Genomic DNA, 23296 nt, shown 5'->3' with positions numbered 1-23296 from the left:
AAGATGCTTAACCTTGACCACTTCAAGATACTACCTTAGGGAAATGAAATGGTAAACTCTCCACACTCAGCCTAGTTTTGTGGAATTGAGAAAAAGCACACAATCCTAAGACTTCCCCCTCCCAAAAGTAACAAAAGGAGTGGAGAGGGTACATCCATAGAAAAATCCTGAAAGACCACAGGAATACCCAGGCAGTCTGACTGATGAAAGTCTTTTTCTCCCAAAGCCAGTCAAACAAAAACCAAAACAAACAAACAAACAAAAAACTGGAAGAGGTGACTGCTTCCTCAGCTGTGAATACTGCAGCAGGAGACTTCAAGGAGCATGAAAAATCAATGACTGAAAGAACACAGTAATTGTTCAGTAACTTAACCCCCGAAATTAGAAATCTATAAACTGCCTGACAATTTGAAATAATTATTTTAAGGGAGTTCGGTGAGTTATAAAAGAACACAGACTGCTCATTGAAATCAGGAAAACAACACCTGAGCAAAACAGGAAGTTGAACAAAGAGATAAAAATCATAAAAGGAACCAAAAAGTTCTGGAGCTGTTTGAAATGAAAACTTCAGTGGAGAACTTCAATAGCAGAGTTGATCAAGCAGAAGGAAACATTTGAGAATTCAGAAGCAGGTCATCTGAAATTATCCAATCAGAGGAGAATAAAGAAAAAGAATAAAAAAGAGTAGAGAAAGTCTCTAAGACTTATAGAATACCATAAAAAATCACTGTATGCATTACAGGATTATTTAAAAAAAAGAAAAGAGAGTAAAGGGCAGAAAGGCTATTTAGATAAACAACTGCTGAATGCCTCCTACATCTTGGGAGAGATGTAGCCATCCAGCTTCATTTATCTCAAAAGTCCCTAAACTGGATCAACTCCAAAAAGATTACCCTGAGAAAAATGATAATCAAAGTATCAAAAGTAAAAAGCCAAGAGTGAATTTTCAAAACGGCAAGAAAAAACCTGCTCATGACATATAAAGGAACCTCCATAAAGCTATGGATTTCTTATCAGAGACCTTGCAGGCCAGGAGAGTAGTATAATATATTCAAAGTTCTGAAGGAAAAAACCCTGCCAGTCAAGAATACTAAACCTGGCAAAGCTGTCTTTCAGAAATGAAGGCAAAATAAAGACTTTCCCAGACACACAAAAGCTAAGGAAGTTCTTCATCTCCTGATCTGCCTTACAAGACTCTAAAGGGAGTTCTTCAAGTTCAAATGAAAGGACAATAATCAGGACATGAAAACATGTGAAGATATAAAATTCACTGGTAAAAAAAATAGTCAAATTCAGAACATTTAATACTGTAATGGTGACATATAAATCAATTTTAACACTAGCATAAAATTTAAGACAAAGGTATTAAAATACTCTCCTATAATAATGTGTTAATGACTATACAATATAAAATATGTAAATTGTGTCGTCAATAACAAAGTGTGGGGAGGATATGCAATCAAAAATAAATTATCAGCTTAAAATCAACTGTTGTAAGATGTTTTATGTAAACATTGTGGTAATACAAAGAAAAATCCCTTTAGCAGATACACAAATGATAAAGAAAAAGGTATCAAAGTGTACTACTAGGAAAATCATCAAATCACAAAGGAAGACAGAAAGAAAGGAATAAAAATCTACAAAATAGAAAACAATTAACAAAATGGCAATAGCAAGCCCTTAGCTATCAATAACCACTTTATATATAAATGAATTACATTCTCCAATCAAAAGATAAAGAGTGGCCGAATGGATAAAACATAAAAACAAGATCCAACTATACGCTGTGTCCAAAAATACTCACTTTAGCTTTAAAATTATGCATAGGCTGAAAGTGAAGGCATGGTAAAGGATATTTCATATAAATGGTAACCAAAAGAGAGCATGTGTGGCTATATTTACATCAGACAATATAGACTTTAAGTCAAAAACTGTCACAGGAGAAAAAGAAGGCAGTTATAATGATAAAGGGGTCAATTCATCAAGAGGATATACCAATTATAAATATATATACACTCAAGGATGGGGCAACTAAATACATAAAGCAAATATTAACAAACAAATAGAGAAATAGACAGCAATACAATTACAGTAGGGGACCCCACTTCAACAATGTATACATCATCCAGATAGGAAATCAGCAAGGAAAGCATACACTAGACAACACCATATGGATGGTCTTTGACTTATGATCGGGTTATTTCCCCATAAATCCATTATAAAATTAAAAAGTTGTAAGCTGAATCATTGTAAAGCCAAGAATCATCTGTGGACCAAATAGACCTGACAGTCATTTACAGAACGTTCACTCTGACAGCAGAAGAATACACATTCTCAAGCATACTCATGCATTTTACAGGAGAGATCATATGTTAGGCCACAAAACAATTTTAAACAAATTTACAAGGATTGACATCATATCATGTATATTTTCCAACCACAATAATATAAAACTAGAAATCAATGTTAAGGAGAATAGGAAAACTCACATATATGTGGAAAGTAAGCAATACACTCCTAAACAACCAATGGGTCGAAGAAGAAATCAAAGAGAAATAAGATAAAATCTTTAGAAAATGGAAACACAACATATCAAAACTCATGGGATGCAGCAAAAGCACATAAGAGGGGGAAATTTATGGCAATAACTGTATATATTACAAAAGAACAGTGATTTCAAATAAACAATCTAACTTTACACCTCAAGGAACTAAAACAAAAAAGAACAAACTAAGTCAAAAGCTAGCAGAAGGAGGAAACGATAAAGATATGTGGAGAAATGGGCAAGAAAAACAATAGAAAAGAACAACAAAACAAAGAGCTGGTATTTTCCAAAACATAAACAAAATCGACAAGACCAGTACTTCATGATCACTTACATGCACAATCTAAAGAAGATGAACTCATAAAAGCAGAGTAGATAATAGAATGATACTTTCTCAAAGAGAGTAGAATGGTGGTTGCCAGGTGGTAGAGGGTAAGGGAAATGGGGAGATGATGATCCAACGGTACAAAGTTTCAGTTTTGCAGGATGAATAAATTCTGGGGATTTAATGTACCGAATGGTGACTATTTAATAATATTATGCTGTGTAGCTTTAATTTGCTATGAACTAGAGTGTTCTCACCTCCTCCGAAGGTAACCATGTGAGATGATGAAGATGCTAATTAGCTTGATTGTGGTAATCATTTTACAATGTTTACATCTATCAAAATATTATGTTGTATACCTTATGTTTATACATTTCTTATTTGTCAATTATACATGAATACATTTGGGAAAAAACCCATGGGGCACACTGCGTATGGGATATGTGCAGTGAGTCAATATTATGTTCATTAGTATTATTTGTTGCCTGAAGAGTTTGTATTACACCAACATAACAACTTCTGATATTTACAAAGCACTTTGCAAATTTCAAAGTATTTCCACTTATATTTTGTCATGCATCCTGTGGGGTTGGTAGGGCAAAAATAACCTGGTCCCACATGACATATTATATTTAGACACTTACGCAAACTTATGTTGTTGGAAGCATTAGGTCAGGGTTTGAATATTGGTGCTTTTTAACACTATTTCCAAAATTGTTATTTTAGTCTATTGCTAAAATATTGTTAGTCTATTATCTATGAAAGGTTAAGACATTTAAAATTCAGTAAATCCATGCAATATACCTGGTACTGTTCTAAGTGATTTACATGAATGATTTTTTTTAATTCTCACAATATTATGTAAGTAATATTATTTAGGTTTTACAGATTAAAAATCTAGTTTACAGATTAAAAATCTTAACACGTTTAAACATGTTTAGTACTTTATTCAAAGGCTCATAGTTCTTACATGGGAGAGCTAGGATTTGACTTAATTTAATGTAACCTCAGCATCTGGCCTTTTGGGATAGTAGCTATCTTTTAGGTGAAAACACTCAGGACTATCTAAGAATGCTTGAATTTTCAGCTGTGTAATCTTGGGTAAAATCATTGAATTTCTCTGCTTTCTTATTTTCTCATCTGTAAATTGGGAACAATAATAATAATTCAAGCCCATTTCCCAGATTTGTAAGCATAAAAGAAAATATTTACATACACTTTGGAAAAACTAATACCATATTAATTATTAGTAATATAGTAATAAGTCAGTTATGTCCATGTGTGTAGCTAAAATTATCATCAATGGTCTGGTTATAATGCTTTTTAAGTTTTTAAAATGCTGAGTTGGCAATATGTAAATAAAGATAAGAAAGGAGCTCCTAGGAATGTGTCAGCCTAATCATCACAGTTGTTAACAACTGTGGTTTCTTTGGGAGGCTGAGGCAGGTGGATCACCTGAGGTCAGGAGTTTAAGACCAAGCCTGGCCAACATGGTGAAACCCCCCTCTCCACTAAAAATACAAAAAAAAATTAGCCAGGTGTGGTGGCGGGCACCTGTAATCCCAGCTACTGGGAGGTTGAGGCAGGAGAATTGCTTGAACCTGGGAAGCGGAGGTTGTGGTGAGCCGGGATCATGTCACTGCACCCAGCCTGGACAACAAGAGCAAAACTCTGTCTCAAAAAAAAAAAAAAAAAAAAGAAAGAAAGAAATGGCTACAGTGGCAGCAACAACCCCGCAGCTCAGATAAACCGATTTCCTAAACTCAAATTATCCACAGCCAGGTCTGTGTCAGCGCTGGTGCTTCCACAGTGATAGCTTCTGGACCAGCAGCTGATGAATTCCAGACACCACTCTTTATTGGATTAGAAGTAATTCTAAATTCATGGAAGGTGTTTTAATATTTGTGCAGATAACAACCCACATGGACTCTGCTACTGCAATTGATTTTGGCTGCTCCTCAACTTGCAGTTCACTTAATGCAATTGTTTGAAGAAAGGTGTCTGAGTAAACACCTGTGTGGACAGACTCACAGGCCTCTTCACTGATGTTGCTTATCTTAGTATTGAAATAAAAAATCAAATAGTGGTGAAAGACAAGACAAAACACTGCACTCTCTTTTTAAAGTTGGTTTCCAGGCTTATGGGATGTCGTGTCTTGCTAAATTGTGGTAATATCAGTAAAGGCAATAGCAGAGAGCCTGGATATAGGAGCACCCAATAAATGACTCTTCTCTTCCTTTTCCTACATCTATATTCACCTTAGAGACTAGAACAGAAAGTTACATACGGGAGTGGCTTAAGACTGTGATGTTAGTTGCCCACCCTGCAAGAGCGGAGGAGGAGAATGGCAAGAGCGGTGCATCCTGGCACCTTCGTTGGAATCCTTAATCTAGCGCTTATTAACACTGTAGGCTTGAGGAAGGTCTTTAATATTCCTGACCCTCTTCCCCCCTCTGTAAAATGGGGCTAATAGTAGACACAGTTTTGGATTGAGGATAATGAAGATTACATAGGTAAAATTGCATAGACTGTATAAAAATGATATAGTCATTAATTTTCTGTAAGATCTCTACTGTTTACCTTCTTCTCTCCAAATATGAAGTTCTAAATAAAGGCCCTTAGGAAAGAAGTCACGAATAGCTGGGCAGGACAAGCAGTATTTTGTGTTTCTCAATATGAGGTGCTTGACACTCAGTATTTTTGTACTTACACAGTTCCATGAAGTAGGATCTATTACCTCCACCCTCCAGATAAGAAAATGAGCTCGTATAGATTGTCAGATGTCCAAAGTGTCCCACCTAGTAGGTGAAAGATCCAGAATTTTGAATCCAGTGTTCTTTATTGAACAAAATACTGAATCTGGAGCTTGGTGACCTTTATCCAAATAACAACAATAAAGCTAACATTAACTTAGCCCTCACCATGTACCATACCTGTGCTAAGCCATTCCAAGCACTCAGTTGTGTCTACAATAACATTATCTCCATTGTACCTGGGAGTAAACTGTGAGGTTACTGGCTTGCTGCAGGTCATGCAGCCAATAAACGGCAGTTGGTATTTGGCTCCAGGCAATCTGGTTGCAGACTCTTTGCTCTTAGTTCCATACAATATTATCTAGGGCTAGGTTCACCTCTGCCATTTTCAAGCATGACACTTCTCTGCTCTGAGTCTCAGCTTATTAATTGGTAAAACGAGGAAGTCATTTAGATTAACCATAAAATCCCTTCCATGAGTCTATCCAATAGACCAAATCAATGTTGTCCTAATAAAAATCACAGAAGGGCATGTCCTGCAGGTCAGGCCCATGCTCACCAATGAATCATGAAGTGGAGCTGCTCAGTAAGTAACAAGGACTGAGTATCTTTTCCTCTTTCTGTGTGCTGTTGACGCAGAGCTGGGGCTTATTGGATTCCAGAGAAATGTGTTATCTATACAATACAAATTTTATCTTCTCTGTGGCAATTCTTCCTTATAATTTTATTCCCAAATTTGAACTTTCTCTCACTCCAGTAAGAGTCAAAACGTATGTGGCAAGGGAATGGGTTATAGCAGGGGTTGGGGGCAGTCACCAAGAATGGCTTCATTTCAGATTTAGGACAAATGAAGTGTCCTTAATCACTTTGGTCTTTTCTCCATTAGAAAACTAGGCCTGCAAAATGTCAGTCTAAAACTTGTAAGCCATATGCAGAATTTCAGGTGGAGTCTTTATTCTCTGACATTTTTATTTCAATCTTCTCTTATAGAAATTCAATCAACACATGTTCCAAATAGTGCAAGGAAGCTCAGCCCTGATGTATGGAAAGTGAGGGGAGTTCCCAATGAAGAATTTTGTTTCTCTAAGAGAGATCTCCTCTCTCACTGTGCCCTTAATGTCTGATTATTGCACAGACATTGCACTTCTGTGGATATGAAGAAAACTATGGGTTGGTTTTCTACCAAAATGCACACTCCTCCCTCCCTCACTTTTATTGAGATGGGGTCTTGCTCTGTTGCCCAGGCTGGAGTGCAGTGGTGCAATCACAGCTCACTGTAGCCTTAACATCCTGAGCTCAAGGGATCCTCCCAACTCAGCCTTCTGAGTAGCTGGGAACATGGGTGCATGCCACCTTACCAATTTTTTGTTTTTATTTTTTTAGAGGCAAGGTCTTGCTATGTTGCCCAAGGTGGTCTGGAACTCCTGAGCTCAAATGATCTACCCACTTTGGCTTCCCAAATTGCTGAGATTACAGGCATGAGCCACTGTGCCTGGCCCATGTTCCCTTTATACACAGTTTAGCATAACATCTCCGGGGTTTATAAACACCCCCAACCTAGTCCATGGCCAATGACTTTAGCTAAATACCCTCTTCTTTAGGGCTTTGATTTTGTTTTTTTTTTTTCCCTTCTCAATTTTTCATATTTCCTCACTCCTTTTCCTAATTTTTCTTCCTGGCAACTGAAGTTTAGTAATAGCATCTTGGACATGGAAGAGACCTGAAGCCCACTGAACCTGCTTCTTGCCCGCTCCATATGACCAGCCAGGGCTGATTGCACTTTTCTAGTGACAAGGAACTTATCCCATACCAGCAGCTGTTTATTTGACTTTAAAACATTTATTATTTTATTTATCAATCATTAATGATTACTTATTAATAACCAATTGATTAATTATATTAGAAGCTTTTAAATTTTGTTGCACAGAATCCTACTTTCTTATATAGTGGTTACTGTTGATGCCCAGCCCAGATTCCCTTTCTCTGCTGCACATCATTCCCAAGTTACTGTGAGTGCTGGTGATTACAACTTACAGCTGTTCTCTCTCTAAGGAATTATACATTGGTAAATGAGAGCAGAAATTGCTATGTGCTACCCTCCTCACCTACTGTAGACTTCAGATGGTGACAGACTGGCAAAAAAAGGCCAGTCCAGTTGCCTCAAGGAAGGACTAATTCTGTGGTGTCCAAAGTCAGATACTTGCTTAGCATTTGTCCTGTCCTTGTCACTGATTCCCTTGCTCTCCCTCTCTTGAGAGCACTCCATTTCCCCTCTCAGGCTCTGCTTGTGGACATAGGGCAGTTGGTACCACAAACAATGCTGAGATGGTATTCTGAAATTAGATCCCCCACTGGGTGGATGGCAATGGGGACCCCATCATTGTGCTAAGTGGAGTCTTGAGAGTCTCTGGCATGCAGTAGCAGTGTAATTGCCAAGATGTTCTCCTGAGGTCAAGTGGGATAGATCCAAGTGGAAGGGATGTGCTATCTAGTGCAACATGATGGGTGTTTGAGATGTATCAGTAAATAACAACTCTAAGGACTATGGCATTAAGTGGCTGTCCTAAGCAACACTGATTCGTGTAAGACAGATAATGACAGTTTCAGATCTAGATAACAACAATTTAAGTCAAAGTGAGTGGCAGAAAACTTCCTTGGAAGCTTTTAAAACGAGCCCTCATCTCCTGCAGAGGGAAAGTACATCTGAGAGTCAAAACAGGACTTAATTAGAAGAGAGCAGATCTTCAGAGAAGCCTGAAATCCCTGCCTAGCTAAGTCTTCTATGCCAAAATCGTCTTCATGGGGAAGGAGTGGGACTCTGAGAATTGGGATGGGGATAGTTGGTAGATGCCTTTGAGAACTTTGAATCCCCCAATTCCCCTGAACTCCCTGGCCCTGCAGAAATAGCTTTCTTCACTTTGTTGGCGATAGAGTACTGCTACCCAGCCTCCTGACTTAAATACTGTGAGATGCCATAAATGAGGCCCCCTGCCTGCCTTTCAAGATGCCTCATGATCTGCCCTACCTCCTCTGGTCGCTATGTGCATAACTGAAGTTAAGTTACAGTATAACCCAACTCTCTTACTAAGGTAGGAGAGAGACTATATGCCAAAATAGCTTTAGGACTATGCTAATATATATAGGCCGGGAATCAAAGACCATATCTGTGAGTGGGTCCTAAAGAAGCTAGATCAAGGGCATACAATATAAAGTTTGTTAGGACAGGGGGTGTGTGTGGCACTTTACTGTGACACAGTATTTAGTACCTTGGCAATAACCCTGAGTGTGGGGATGGCTAAAAAATCTTGGAAGTAAACAGTGGTTCATGTCAGACAAAATAGGAATGCCAGAACTGCTATTGCTCTCTGTGGAAACAGGAATATAAAAATGTCCAGCTAAGTGAGTATGCTAAAATAGAACACTACAGGAGACTACAATAGCTGACCATGTTCTTCATGAAAGCCCAGAGGACGCTGTTTACCAGGTGATAGGGAATGTGCTGGTGAGGGAGGCACCAGCATCCCTGATAGCCTCCTAGTGGCTGCTCTATGCAGACAGGAACAAACAGTAGATGATCCTGTTATATATTTGAGCTCTGTGGTAGCAACAGAGATGATAGGATCATAGTATAACAGGCAGGTGACAGCATCTGCAATCAGAAGCAAGGTAGGTGTAATTGCTGTCATGGAGAACAAGATTGGACAAGCCGATAGGAGACCTATCCCAAAGGTATCTGTGGAGAGAGTTCTAGAACATGGTGTTTTCAAAGGCATGAAAGGAGGTCAGCCAATACATATATTGCTTAATAGATAAAATTAAGAGATCATAAATTGGTGAGCAAAAGATTGACATTGGCTGCCACAACAGAAGTCATAGTCTCTTTTTTGACACCTGGGATAGTTCTCATGCTCCAAGACAATCAGTTGATGAATAGGTGGGTCCCCATGATAAAGAATCTGAAACATAATGGCAAGTGTACACAGTAATAACTCCTGAAGTTCTTCGGCTATTTACTTGAGTATACACAATATAGTGGAACAAGGGGAATGTTTAGATCTTTCGAGAGCTTTCGGATAGAGACTCTGAGTTGACATTGATATTTGCTGTCATGGTCCCTCTGATAGAATGGGCATGTGGTGGATGTTAGAAAACAAATAGATTCACTGAGATCCACAGGCTTACCTGATCAGGACACTGTTTCCCAAATATATAATTGGAAGAGGCATTTAGCAGTTGACAGAATCCCTACACTGGTTCTGTGTTCTGTACAACTAAGAACTGTTAAAAGAAAGGTCAAGTTGAAGGTCCCAAAACTGCCTCCTCAAGTAAATAAAAATAGGAACACATCCTGGAATAACAGCATTTAGTGCCATCCTTGTTGGCAGTCCCCATCATATCCCTTTTTATTTCATCATCCTGGACCCTATGAAAACCAATATATCATGACGGGTAACAGTGAACCATCTTTATGTAAACAAAAAGCAGTCCCAATTGCAATTATTATATTTGATGTGGTAGATTTATTAGAGAAGATTAACACAGACTTTGATGCATGGTGTGAAGCTATTGATCTGGCAGTTGTGTTCTTTTCCATACTAATCAAGAACGATCATTAAAAACAAAAATATACATTTACAATGTAGTTCCAGAGCTTTAAATTCTCATGTTTTCTGCCATAATTTATTCCAATGTGGCCTGAACTGTCTGGACAATTGAAAACATCACATTAGTCTACAAAATTAATAATGCCTTGTTAATTTGACCTGATAAACAGTAAGTAGCAAGTAATTTGGATGCCTTGGATTGAAACATGCACCCAAGAAGATGGGTGCTGAATCTTACAAAGATTCAGGATCTGCCATATTGAAGAAGATTATAGGAACCCAGTGGTCTAGGCATGCGAGTACATCTCTATGAAAGTAAAGGACAAATTATTTCACCTTGTTCCTTCTCCACTAAGAAAGAAGCAGAGCACTTCAGAGTCCCCTTTGAATTTTGGAGGTAGCATATTCCAAACATGGAAATACTCCTATATTTCTAGCTTTGGTTGGGGGCAGAGTTGAGAAAGATATGCAGAGAGCTATATCATTCTAAAACTTCTCCTGACAAGATTTTAGGACCTGATTGAAATTGATTATCTGACTATGATTTATCAAGGGATCGTGTGGCCAGAGCTATAGATCAAGAGATGTGTTCTGTCCTGTGTGAGATGCTGAGATGAGAAAGCCCAGATATACTTCGTCATTAAATGGAAGTGGTGCCTCTAGCATCAGGCTTGAGAAGGCCCAAAGGGCACAAGTAAACTACACAACAGGAGACCCAGACCCCAATGTCACATCTTGTACTGCTGCTGTTTCCTTGGCTCACATGTAGGCCCTCATGCTGGGGGCTCCCCATGACCAGCTGATGAAGGGGGAAAAAGTCGAATTTGGTTAATGGATGGGCTGGCATGGTATGTGGATATGAACCACACATGAGCTGTTGCTGCATGACAGCCTCACTCAGGAGAGCCCCTAAAATACAGTGGGGAGTGGAAACCCTTTCCATTTACGTATTTGAATGAAAGTAGATAAAGCGGGAGAAGGAAAATGGCAGAGACACACACACACACACACACACACACAGAGAGAGAGAGAGAGAGAGAGAGAGAGAGAGAGAGAGAGAGAATAGAAGCAGGCCCTAAAATGCCACTGAAAAAGTCAGGCAAACCTCCCATTGATTTCTGTTGCCTATACATGCAACAACAGTGCCACAATTCCATAGGGACAATGGGAAGAGCTCAGGTACTTGAACCTGATTTTCCACTTTCTGTGTACAGAAAAGTGGTTTGGACTAAGGATCTACATAGACTTATGGGCAATGGTAAATGGCTTAGTTAGTTGGTCAGACTTGAAACTTTGGAAGGAGCAAGGTTGGACACCTGGGGACGAAAAGTACAGAGAAAGAGCCATGTGAATCAAACGATGAAGTGGGAAAAATGGGATAACTGATCTAACAACATGGAATCCCATATAACATTGCCCACTTTACAGAAAAGGAGATGTGGTTGTGAGCAAATTGCTGTGGCATCCATTGGTCCTAGCTCACATCCTAATCCTGAAATTGATGACATTGTAGAGCAATGAAATAACCTGTTGCTGCCACAGCTGAAGCACTAGCTTTGAGAAGATACCATGAAAAGATAAGGAGCTGTCGGTGTACATTTTAAACCATTAAGCATGATAATAACCAATAAGTAGAATATATCAGTCTCAGAAACAAGGGGTGAGAGTAGAAGTGGCACCATTAATATTCACTCCCAATATTTTAAAAATTATGATGTTTTTACATCTAATTTTTGAAAATGTTTGTGCTGCAGGTTTAGAGGTCTTAGGTCCAAGAGGGGGATGCTTCCACCAGGGGACACAGTAAATGTATTCCTAATGTAAAGCTATGGCTTCCACCTTGTGCTAGCTACCCTCAACCCTGTTGACTATCAACCAAAGAAAAGAGTTGCTGTAGTGGTGGGGATATTTAACCCTGATTATCATGAGGTTGTAGAGTTGCTCCTACATAATGAAGTCAAGGAGAAATATATTTAGCATAGAGATAATTCACTTGGGCATCTCTTGATACTCTCATGACTATTTGTAACTGCAAATTGGAAAATAGAATAATCATGGCCTAATGAGAGCATAGTAACCAGGGTTTCAGACACCCTAGGGCTAAACATTTGGGGGAACCCATCAGACAAGTCACCTAGACTGGTAGAGGTGCTGGCCCAAGGGGAGGGAAATTTAAAATGTTTTTAGAAGTTAGGGGTAATTAATATCAGTTATGCTTTAACAGCAGCAGCAAAGGCTGTAATTTATCCCAGTTGACTATCCTCTTGTAAACGATCCCAAAGAAATTGGGATCATCAGAATTCTGGAGAAGCTATACCTCAATAGAGTGAATTTAATGGAAGAAACAAATGGATCTAAGTGGTGCAAGGGGTCGATTGTAGTGGCTGCAATCATGTAGTGGTCTCTTGCCTTGCTCAGATTTTTTTCTCTTCAATTTTTAAGTTCAGGGCTACATGTGCAGGATGTGCAGGTTTGTTAAATAGGTAAACATGTACCATGGTGGTTTGCTGCAAAGATCATCCCATCACGTAGGTTTTAAACCTAGCATGCATTAGCTATTCTTTTGATGCTCTCCCTCCCTCCACCACTGAACAGGCCCCAGTGTGTGTTGTTCTCCACCATGTGTGCATGCGTTCTCATCATTCAGCTCCCACTTATAAGTGAGAACATGCAGTGTTTGGTTTCTGTTCCTGCATTAGTTTGCTGAGGATAATGGCTGCCAACTCCATCCATGTCTCTGCAAAGGACATGGTCTCATTCCTTTTTATGGCTGCATAGTATTCCATGGTATATATGTACCACATTTTCTTTATCCAGCCTATCATTGATGGGCATTTAGGTTGATTCCATGTCTTTGCTACTGTGAATAATGCTGCAGTGAACATATGCATGCATGTGTCTTTATAGTATAATGATTTGTATTCCTTTGGGTATATGTCCAATAATAGGATTGCTGGGTCAAATGGTATTTCTGCCTGGAGATCTTTGAGGAATCACCACACTACCTTCCACAACAGTTGAACTAATTCACACTCCCACCAACAGTTTAAAAGCATTTTTTTTTCTCCACAATCTTGAGGTTGCTCAGATGTTTTAAATTAACCAGTGTATCCATAACCCACCTGCTGGGAACATTAGCTGAAAATAATTTACAGCTGTCTCTTTCTTTGTAGAATTGTATTAGACTAAAAAAAACCCACCTCACCTTGTAAGCTATCCCTCCTCACTCCTTTAGGGACAACATTCAGCTAAAGACTCACTGGTATAGTGATGAAGAGGTCCAGCCCACTCACTTCAAGGTGGGACTAAGTCTGTGGTATAATTTGTTCTTCGGAGCTTCTCTGTGACACCAAAATGAAGGTAGTCTCTAGTTGAGACCATTTGGCTTTCCCCTCATTGCTTTATCCCACTTCACTCACTTCCTTCTCCTGCATACACCTCCTGAGTAAAGCAGTTGAATGAATATGCAGGAACCCCACATAATACACCCCGTTGTAGCTTCCACTCCTTAGGTCTTGTGTAGCCATGGTTCTTTCTACGACAAGAGAATGGCTAAAAGGTAAGGGAAGATAAGGGAAAAGAGTAAGGTAGCATGATACAGGAGTAAGTTCTCTAATTCCTATCCTTTCATTTTTATAAACTCCAAAATAGAGACCTCTTGACATTCACCTCTAAGCCCGTTTTCTTACTTGACACTGATAACAATTTGGTTTAATTTCAGAATGGTTTAAGGAGAGCTAGCTAAGAACATGCTAAGGCATGACATCACATTTTATATTTTGAAGGCTTCCTATCTTCCAGTAGGCATTGTTCTGCTCTGACCCTATGTTCCACTTCAAATTATTGTCTTATTACCCGTATTGAGTCCCTGCTTGGCTAGCTGGCCTGGTGCCGAAGTTTCCTCAAGACTTACACTTTTGATAGTTTAGATGAGCCCTGCGGGTATCTATAGTCCCAGCCCTATGTCCTATTTTAGCAATTGGTGTCTTGCTTCATGTTGCCAGGCCTCACTGATGCTAACTGCCTCTTTGCCTATCTGTATCTTCCGTTTTACCTCCTCTGAAACTGACCCTTGTACCTCTTCCTGGACTACAGTTTTCTGGATCCTATGTCCTGTCTGCCTGCCTAGACTTTCTCCCGGCACCTTCTCCAAGGGATGGTTCATCCCAGACAGTCTAGGTGACTACTCTGGCTCTGTCTAGATTTCAGACGCCCTTTGCTTCCTCTCGGCTTTTCCATTCAGCTCCTGGGAGACCTTGTGGAGGAAGTTGCTTCACATCTCTGTTCCCAATTTCTTCATCAACAAATGAGGCTAATAATTAGTCATGAAGAATAAGCAAGAAAATACTCATAAAGCATTTAGAAGACTACCTGACAAATAGTATGACTCAATAATATGATCTACTTATGTGAGTTAGTTGTTATAATCTTCCATGCAGTTCTGTTAGGGAAACTGAAGCCACTTAGGACATTCAGGAAGGAAGGGATTTAACAGAGAGAGAGACTTATACAACTTGGAACAGCCTGGGACAGGATACTTAGGAAGATCACTGTTGGATTTCAGAATATACAGATGTCCAGGGATCACAGAGGAGCCTCTGCCTGTGGTCTTGACTGCCAGGATCATGGAAGTGAGTGATTATCAAGTATATGCCAGAAAGCTTCTGGAAAAACACTCTACCTGTTAACGCACACTTGCCTGCACATAGCTGAAAATAATGGTTTCCTTTTTCTTTTATGTTTTATAAATCTTGTGCAAGTGCCCACTTGATCAAACACAAATATTGGAGGAAGCAAATGTGGAAAATACCAGGTTCTGGGTTTTCGGCCCTTGCAGTAGAGTTGACAGCTTAGAAGTACAGGTATGATGTGTTGAGTATCAATGGACAATATGTGCCGCTGTTGTTATTGTTACTATTATTGTGGTTTTCACCCCAGCTTTATTCTTTTAGGAATTGTGTAAAGGGAAATCTACTGAGAGAGAAGTCAGAGCATATGATAACTGGAGGTGGGCATCATGGCCTTTCTAGAAAGTTTCGAGTTGGATGCTCAGTTGGATAATCTGCATGGAGAAATGGACAAGCTCCAAAATAGAGTCCAAACAATGGACTTTAATAAAGACATCTGAGAGCTTAGTCACAGATAAAGTTGGGCAACTTATTGCTAAGCCTCTGAAAGCAGTTAAATAAAAGAGTTAGAAACAAAGATGTACCTGGTGGAGGAGAGTGTAACCCCCACGGGGTTATAGTCTCACTCAACCCCACTAGTAGTTAGCTAGTGACATCGGGTAATCACTTCATTCCTCTAGGCCTTATTCTTTATCTGTAAAATAGAGGAGTTGGATTAAATCATTCCTGTGATCAGACTCTTACTGCTGACACTGCATTCCATTTCATCTCATCACACTTGGCTCCAGCAGTGATACTTCTCTCTGTTGAATATTGGAATGATGTCTGAGTCCTGGCATTGTGTACACAGAGATCCAGATGCAAGGCATTATCAATCACAACACTAATGTTGTGAAGCAAGGATAGGTAAGGCTAATTGCAAGTAGCTCCTGTATTCCCAGTGGTTTGCACCATGCCTGTCACATGGAAGGTACAATACAATTTGTTAAATGAGTGAAAGAATATTTAATCCGCCTCTTACACTTCAGTGACAAGGGAGGTAAGTCATTTTACTGAGGGTTCTGATTACTCAGAGGAAAACTCCAAATGGCAATCAAAGGATTTGTGGATTGTGAACAGGAAGTTGGAGAGCACTGGGCTGGGAACTCCATGGAGCCACCTTTGTAGCTCTCAGGCACTATCTATCTTACGTGAAAAACACAATGAGTTCAAGGTCACTGCACACATGTTGAACAAATAAATAATTGTAGAGCTGCCTAAGCCCTAAGGCAGGAGAAAATGTCCTTTGGGACTGTAGAAAGGCTGTGTTAAGTGCTCATGATACTCCATGGGAGAGGGAGCTAAACCCAGATGATCACTGGAATGCTTCTACACTTGATTTGTCAGTGCAGGGAATGAGCCAACAAATCTCTTCATACTTCCTAAGGTCACACAATTTCAGAGGCAGAAGGAATCTTGGTTACTATCTGGCTATACTGTTATCTGGTACCTGAATTTCCTTTACATAATTTTCAAAAATGTTATTGTCCAGCTGCTATTTGAATCTTTCCACGGACAGTGAGCTTACAGCCATTCTATTTCATCTTCTTTTAAAAATTTATATGAATCTGACATTTCTCCCATAATCAGTGGTGTTTTAGTTTATTATTCAATGGTGCCCCTGATGTACTCACCTCTATTTCTTTCCCTCCTTATGTCTTAGCTGGAGAAGACCTGTTGTTCAGTCTACTTTTACCCTCCATTTTCAGGGAGCAACATTATAGTGTTGGGCAAATATGCACATATGTGTATTCATGCAAATGCAGTTGCATACCCTTGCATCAAAGTCAGGTGCTCCTTGTTAAATTTTGTTCCCTAGAAAGATCCTTCACAAAAACCTTATGTAGCAGGGGTAGTTCTTTAAAGACCTTTCCAACCCCAGACGGGCTGCTTGTGTTGCACTTCACCTTTCTGGTAGACTCACTAACTAGACTGCTGGAGCCAGAAGGGGCCTTGGTGAGAGTTTAATAAAATGTTCTTATTTTATTAAAAGAGTATGTAACCATTGAAGTCTGAGGTAGTGGTCTAAATTCTTTCAGCTAAGTAGCTGAAGAGTCAACCCTCAATCTCAGGGCTCGAAAATCTTGCTTGTGTGAGCAGCAGTACCTGGCACTGTGCTGGTCAGACTGCATGAATCATACATATTGAGAGATTGATTGCTATCTTATTTTTAAACATGTCTATAGTTTGGCTCTCAACCTTCTTTTGAAAGCTAGACTAATATACCACTGTGATTTTCTGTAATTACTTTGATTCAATAACCCGCATCATTCTTGGTTGTCTATGTGTATACAAATTACTGCCAAACAAGAGAGAAGTTCAGGAATAGAGAGAGGGATCCCTGGTACTAACTGAAGGCAACCCAGGGATATAACTTTCCTTCCTACACCCCCAATCTCAGGAAGTCAGTAGATGGCAGTGGTAAGAGCCATGAAGATCTGGATTCAAATCCTAGCTCTAGCTCTAGGACTTTTGGCCTGAGTGCTTTTACATGAGTTTCCTAGCCCTACTGGGCCTTGCTTTCCTTGGAAGTAACATGGGTTTTATAAGAATAATGAGAGGCATATACACACATATATAAGCACTTTTCCTGGTAATTTGGGCATAGTAAGTACTCAACAGATAAAATACACTGTTACTATTATTTCAGCTAATTTTGTTACATTGTTTTTTTTTTTCCCATCAAGTAGGTGTTTAGTAGGTATCTGTGGAATGAATGTATAGCATTCACATGATGTTGTTCTTACAACAAGGGAAGAAGGATGGTAGCTTTCATTCTCAACCCTGACAATCAGAGGAAGAGGGTTTCTAGGATCAGGAATAGCAAATACAAGTCTAGACCAGGAATTGGCAAACTATGGCCCACTGGCCACATCTGACCCACTGTCTGTGTTTGTAAACAAAGTATTATTGAAACACAGGCACATTTCTTTGTTTATATATTGTCTATGGCTGCTTTTGCACTACCACCGCAGAGGTGAGTAGTTGGCACAGAGGGAGACTTGGGGTTATGGTCTCAACCCCACTAGTAATTAGCTGGTGACATTGGGTAATCACTTCATGCCTCTAGGCCTTATTCTTTATGTGTAAAATAAACGAGTTGGATTAAATCACTGCTGTGATCATTTTACTGTTTATATTCTATGATTCTTTGGAAACTAAGGCCAAGGCAGAGAGGAGAGATTTGGACTGACATTCTTTTATATATTTGAACTCTATTATCTTTTAGGCTGTAGAAAAGGCTAAGAAGGAAACCTGGATTGATACAGAGATGGGCTTTAATTCAGAGAGAATTGTAAAATATACTTACATTCCCCAAAGCTGGAAGTGAAGTATAAACTATATTAAAACATTTCAAATTCTAAGGGGAATAAAGAGGCTGCATTTTATAAAGCTATTTTTGGGTTTTGTCAACTACAATAACCACATGGTTCAGATATAAGAGCCTAGCACTAAAAGCATTAGATGGAATTCCTTTCCATAGAACATTGCTAACACGAGACTGTGGCAACAGAACACTTAGGTTGAAAAGTTTAAAAAGCCTTTTAGAAAGTTCTTAGGAGAAATATATTTAAACTTTTAAAAAATTAAATATATACATGTATACGTTCCTTTGAATACAGATATCAATATATCATTACCTGGCCCCTAGCCTGACACTTAGTAGTAGTTAAATAATACTTTTGAATGAATGAATAAAATTCATTGGAACCTCTACATTATACTACTCCTTCAATTCAACAAACATTTATTTTGTGGTTATTATTAGAATTTTTAGGCCCTTTTCAGGAATTACTACCTTATATAGAACAATGAGCTCCTTTTAGCACTCTGGATGTTATAAATAATGCTCCATAGATGAGATCTAAAGAGGGAATCCCAGAATCACAGTTTTAGAGCTGACAGGCTGAACCACTTCCTTTGCTCTTAGATGTGTCCTTCTCCATCTCTTTCTTATCCAAAGTCCCAGGGCTAAGTGAAGGCAAAGTTAGGACTAAAAATTATTCTTCAGATTCCAAATTCTGTGTTTCTTTCCTATGCACTATCTAGATTATATCAACTTACATTTTAGAATATTATAATGAGATTCTAACATAGAGCATCCTTGAACTTGGTAAGGTTTTGGATGATCTGGTTGGTGGCAATATGATTGATTAATTAATTCATTCATTCATTGAAGTATGTATTAAGCGCCAACTATATCAGTTGCAGTATGCTAGGTGCTCTCATGGATGAAAAAGAATGAGACACATGATTTTTCCTTAGCTTAGGGGTCACCTGCAGGAAGATTTTTCTCAACCAGAGCTACCCATCAGGCTCACCTCCAGCACTGCACTTACCGTAGTGTGTTGGAATGTCTTGTTACCAATCTATCTCTTCCATTAGTCTGTAAGATGCTTTGGGGGCAGAAACTAAGTCTTACTCATCACTGGGCATATTCTGCCCTTTCTCCCAAAATGTCATTTGAACTGATTTAACCATATCTCATGATATATTTGGGAGAGAAAAATGATAATATATACCTTACTAGTTTAAAACATATGTTATGGACTGGATGTTCGTGTCCCCCCAAAATTCACGTGTTGAAACCCTAACCCACAACTTGATGGTATTTGGAGATGGGCCTTTAGGAAGTAAGAATTGTCAGATGAGGTCATGAAGGTGAGACCCTTGTCCAATGCCATTAATGCCATTATTGGAGGATACACCAGAGAGCTTCTAGTATCCCCAGGTGCTCCTTGGCTTGTGGCTGTATAACTCCAATCCCTGCCTCGGGATTCATGGCTATCTTCTGTGTGTCTTCATATCATCTTTCCTTCTGGCATGTCTATCTCTGTGTTTCTTATTGTCTTATAAGGATGCAAATCATATAAGAAAATTGGATTAAGGACCATGCTAAAGACCTCATGTTAACTTGATTACAGCTGCAAAGACCCTGCTTCCAAATAAGGTCACATTTGCAGGTATCAAGAGTTAGTAGTTCAGCAAACATTTTGAGGGGTCATACAATTAATCTATAAGAATGGCCAAGACCAAAATCCTATTTTTTCTCTTTTTAACTATGATAGTATCAACTTATACCATTTGGAATCATGCATTATGTGCCAATCACAGTGCTCAGCATTCAATTATTTCATTTAATCTTCTCAACAAGCCGTGAGAGGTGGGAAGTGTTAGGCTTGTTAACAGCTGTGCAGTGGAGATTCAAGGAGGTTGAGTACCTTACACCAGGTCATATTCTAAATGGTGGAGCCAGAATTTCATTTAGATCTCACTAATTTTGAAAGTCCACATTCTTAATCACAATGCAAACATTTCTCTCTTGCTCACTCTCTTTTTTAATTTTTTAACATTCATGAGTCTATTAGCTATTTTAGGATTTTTTTATGTCCTATAACTTAGAAACTCTTTATTAATGTCTGCACTGAACATTAATCTGTCATATATTTAGTCTCAACTTGAGGCTGTACATATAGACCTGTTTAGGTTCTCTAAGATTCCACCTTATGCCCTCTTTACCTCTTTAGGTTAGCTAATGTGTCACTGTATCTTTGCATCTTTCCCTTTGTCCTGGTAACCCATATTATTCCTGAAGCCATTTCTACATGCTGAGTCAGGTTCCAAAGAAAAACTCAATAATTCTAGTATAGGATCTTTATTCCAATCTTAGCCTGCAGTCAGTTTCTGTATTGAGAGATCCTAACCCTCATACTGCTGTGTTGAGTCACAGCATCTTCCAAATTGACCTCAGTTACTGGATTTAGTCAATTTGCCTTGGATTTGGAACTCCACCATGCACTCTGCTGATCTCTTCATCTTCTTTTCCTGCCCCCAAACCTCAGTCAGAAGCACATTCATGTACCAGCCTCATTTAGCTCTGCATGGATTTTTCCAAGGCATTTGGAAAAGTTGCCAAATTATTTACAATTGTATTTCTGCAGTTTGGAGCCATTTGAAAAATTCAAGATTGATTTTCAGCTGGGCAATGCAGCATCAATCCTAATAAGATTCAAGCACTGAAAAAGTACAGTGATGAACCATTGATTAAGTTGACACTGCAATCTATTTTCCTTGCCCCTGGTAGGCTGAACTGGCTGCTTGTACCTGCATTTGTTAAATGTTGCGGGCTTTTGTCTTTGTGAATAATCTTATCTGAAACAAGAGCTGGTGCTGTGCTTGGTTGCTCTGCCTGGGTATCTGTCAGTGCCTCATTCTACGGGTGTGAAAATGAAAGCTGAGGAAATTAAGGGAAGTGTACAGGGAATTCACCAATCTAAAAACCTAGTGTGCTGGCCTGCAACTGTGCAGTTTCAGGGCTGAGAAGGAAGACTGTAGTTGGAAAATGAACATGTCCATGGGGAAATAATATAGCAAGAATGCACACTATAGTGTAAGTGTCAAGTCTGGGGCAGGAATGGCCTTTCCACATTAGGGAAGGATCCCTAGACAGTGGCAGCTCTGTTGCAAACATAAATCACTAGAATATACAACATGAAATCCTCTTCCTTTTATCCTAATTCACCCACTTTTCCAACTGTTTGAAATGATGTGTTTCATGTTGAATCAGAGTCTCTAAATTTATCTGCTATGTGACCTTGGGAAAGATGCTTAACTTCCCTCAGCTTCAATATATCTTTCCTCATCTGTCAAATGGGTATGTTACTGGTATTGCACTCACAGGGTATTACCAATGATCAAATAAACTAATGGCCATAATGGGCCCAACATACAGTAAGCATTCAATAAATTAATAAATTAAAGGCTTGTTGAAAACCAACCATTTTTAACAAAAAAATTTCTCATTGCAGTTGTGTTTAAATGAGTGGATAAAAAGAAGTGGTTTGGCTCATTCCCATAGTGGGAATGGGTGGGAGAGAGCAGCTTGACAATGGGAGAGACCGTCTGATAGAGTAAACAGCCAGGCCCGTAATGTCACAGCAATGGGCTCTATACCAGCAGTATTAGGATGAAAACAATATCCCTGGGGAAAAGGCATATTGCTCACAAGCTGCCCACTCCAGGATGCTCCTCCTTAGCAAGGGCATCCTCCTTACTGTTCTTCCTTCAAAGTGATTTCTAGTTGTACAACAGTTGTTCTAGCATGGTAAACATCAGATCTTTCAAATATAATGTAGATGAATTTTAACCATACACAGAGTAAATATATACATATGTCTATACATATATATAATCTTCCATGAATATTTATAGGAAATACATAAATGATTCACACTCACTCCCTCACATCCTAGGAAAAGAATGGAGCAATATGGTATTTTTTGACCTGACCCCTCGACTTTATCAGAAGGCAAACAATCTAGCCTTAGACATGTAATTGCTCAAATAACACAGGTCCTAGAGAAAGCTGATTCACATGTGGAACACGGTCATAGCTCAGACACTTTCATCAGTCTACTCCTTCACCAATAGCCCCCCAGACATTTCCTACAAGCTCTGTGCTTGCCTCCAGATTATTCTGAAAAATTGTAGCAGTCATGTTTGTGCATTTAAAAGCATAGATGTGTGGTGAGAGAAGCTTGAGTCAGACTCCTGATAAAATCTTTCCATTAAAAGCTGGAGAAAAGGAAGTGGTTTCAGCAGCACTATCCAACAAAAATTTGTGAGAAGAGGGAAAGGTTTTTACCTTTGGATCCAGTACAGTAGCCACTAGTCACATGAGGCTATTGAGCACTTGAAATGTGGCAAGTGTGAATGAGGTATCAAATTTTTAACATAATTTAATGTTAACTAATTTAAATGTAAACAGAAATTTGTGATTAGAGGCTACCATAATGGAAAGCACAGCTTTAAAAAAATAGGCAGTCCAATCTGCTTTTAAGGATGAGCAGAAAGTAGATGTAGAAGATAGGATGAACTGGAATGGAAAAGACAGAGAAAGCTGACAACAGGTGAAATCCTATTTTCTCTTCTGACTAAAACACTCAATCTCTTGATGGTATACAGAGAAACTGAAGATTTACAGATTAATTATGAATTTCTCAGTAATTTACTGAGAAATTTTATGTGTCATTTTATATGTTTATGCTAGGAACTGCGGATAAAGAAATTTTTAAAAAGCCACAAAGATGTAGCCTTTGCTCATAAAGTGTGTATATTCAGAATCAGACAGACACATATCAGAATAACCTTAAATAGTGTATGTTTTTTTAAAAAAGGCAATGAAAAGTATCAAAGCATTATAACATTTCTGAAAGACATAAAAGTTCAAATCATGTTTGTAAATAATTATAAATTATGAATCTATGAAGTTAATGTACTTTTTATTTATTGATAATCAAGAATTGACCATTGTTACTATTTTCTAACTCTTTGATCATTCCTCTATTAAGTGTCTGTGTTGCCCTGACTCTCTGGCCAGGACGAGAGAATAGAAAGCCCTT

The 23296-nt window shown here is 38.8% G+C and overlaps 3 annotated features.

Annotated features, from left to right (window-relative positions):
* Positions 22228–22428: a silencer, noted in NCBI's record as "peak1395 fragment used in MPRA reporter construct". NCBI's record gives its function as "represses an SCP1 promoter by STARR-seq MPRAs in K562 erythroleukemia cells {active_cell/tissue: K562}" and the evidence as "EXISTENCE:reporter gene assay evidence [ECO:0000049][PMID:32103011]".
* Positions 22228–22555: a biological region, named in NCBI's record as "Sharpr-MPRA regulatory region 15181".
* Positions 22261–22555: a silencer, noted in NCBI's record as "tiled region #15181; HepG2 Repressive non-DNase unmatched - State 24:Quies". NCBI's record gives its function as "represses a minimal TATA promoter and a strong SV40 promoter by Sharpr-MPRA in HepG2 cells {active_cell/tissue: HepG2}" and the evidence as "EXISTENCE:reporter gene assay evidence [ECO:0000049][PMID:27701403]".

Source organism: Homo sapiens, chromosome 11, assembly GCF_000001405.40.
Source record: "Homo sapiens chromosome 11, GRCh38.p14 Primary Assembly".
NCBI lineage: Eukaryota > Metazoa > Chordata > Mammalia > Primates > Hominidae > Homo > Homo sapiens.
Note: the sequence above shows the minus strand (reverse complement) of the source record. Positions and strands in the feature narration are given on the sequence as shown.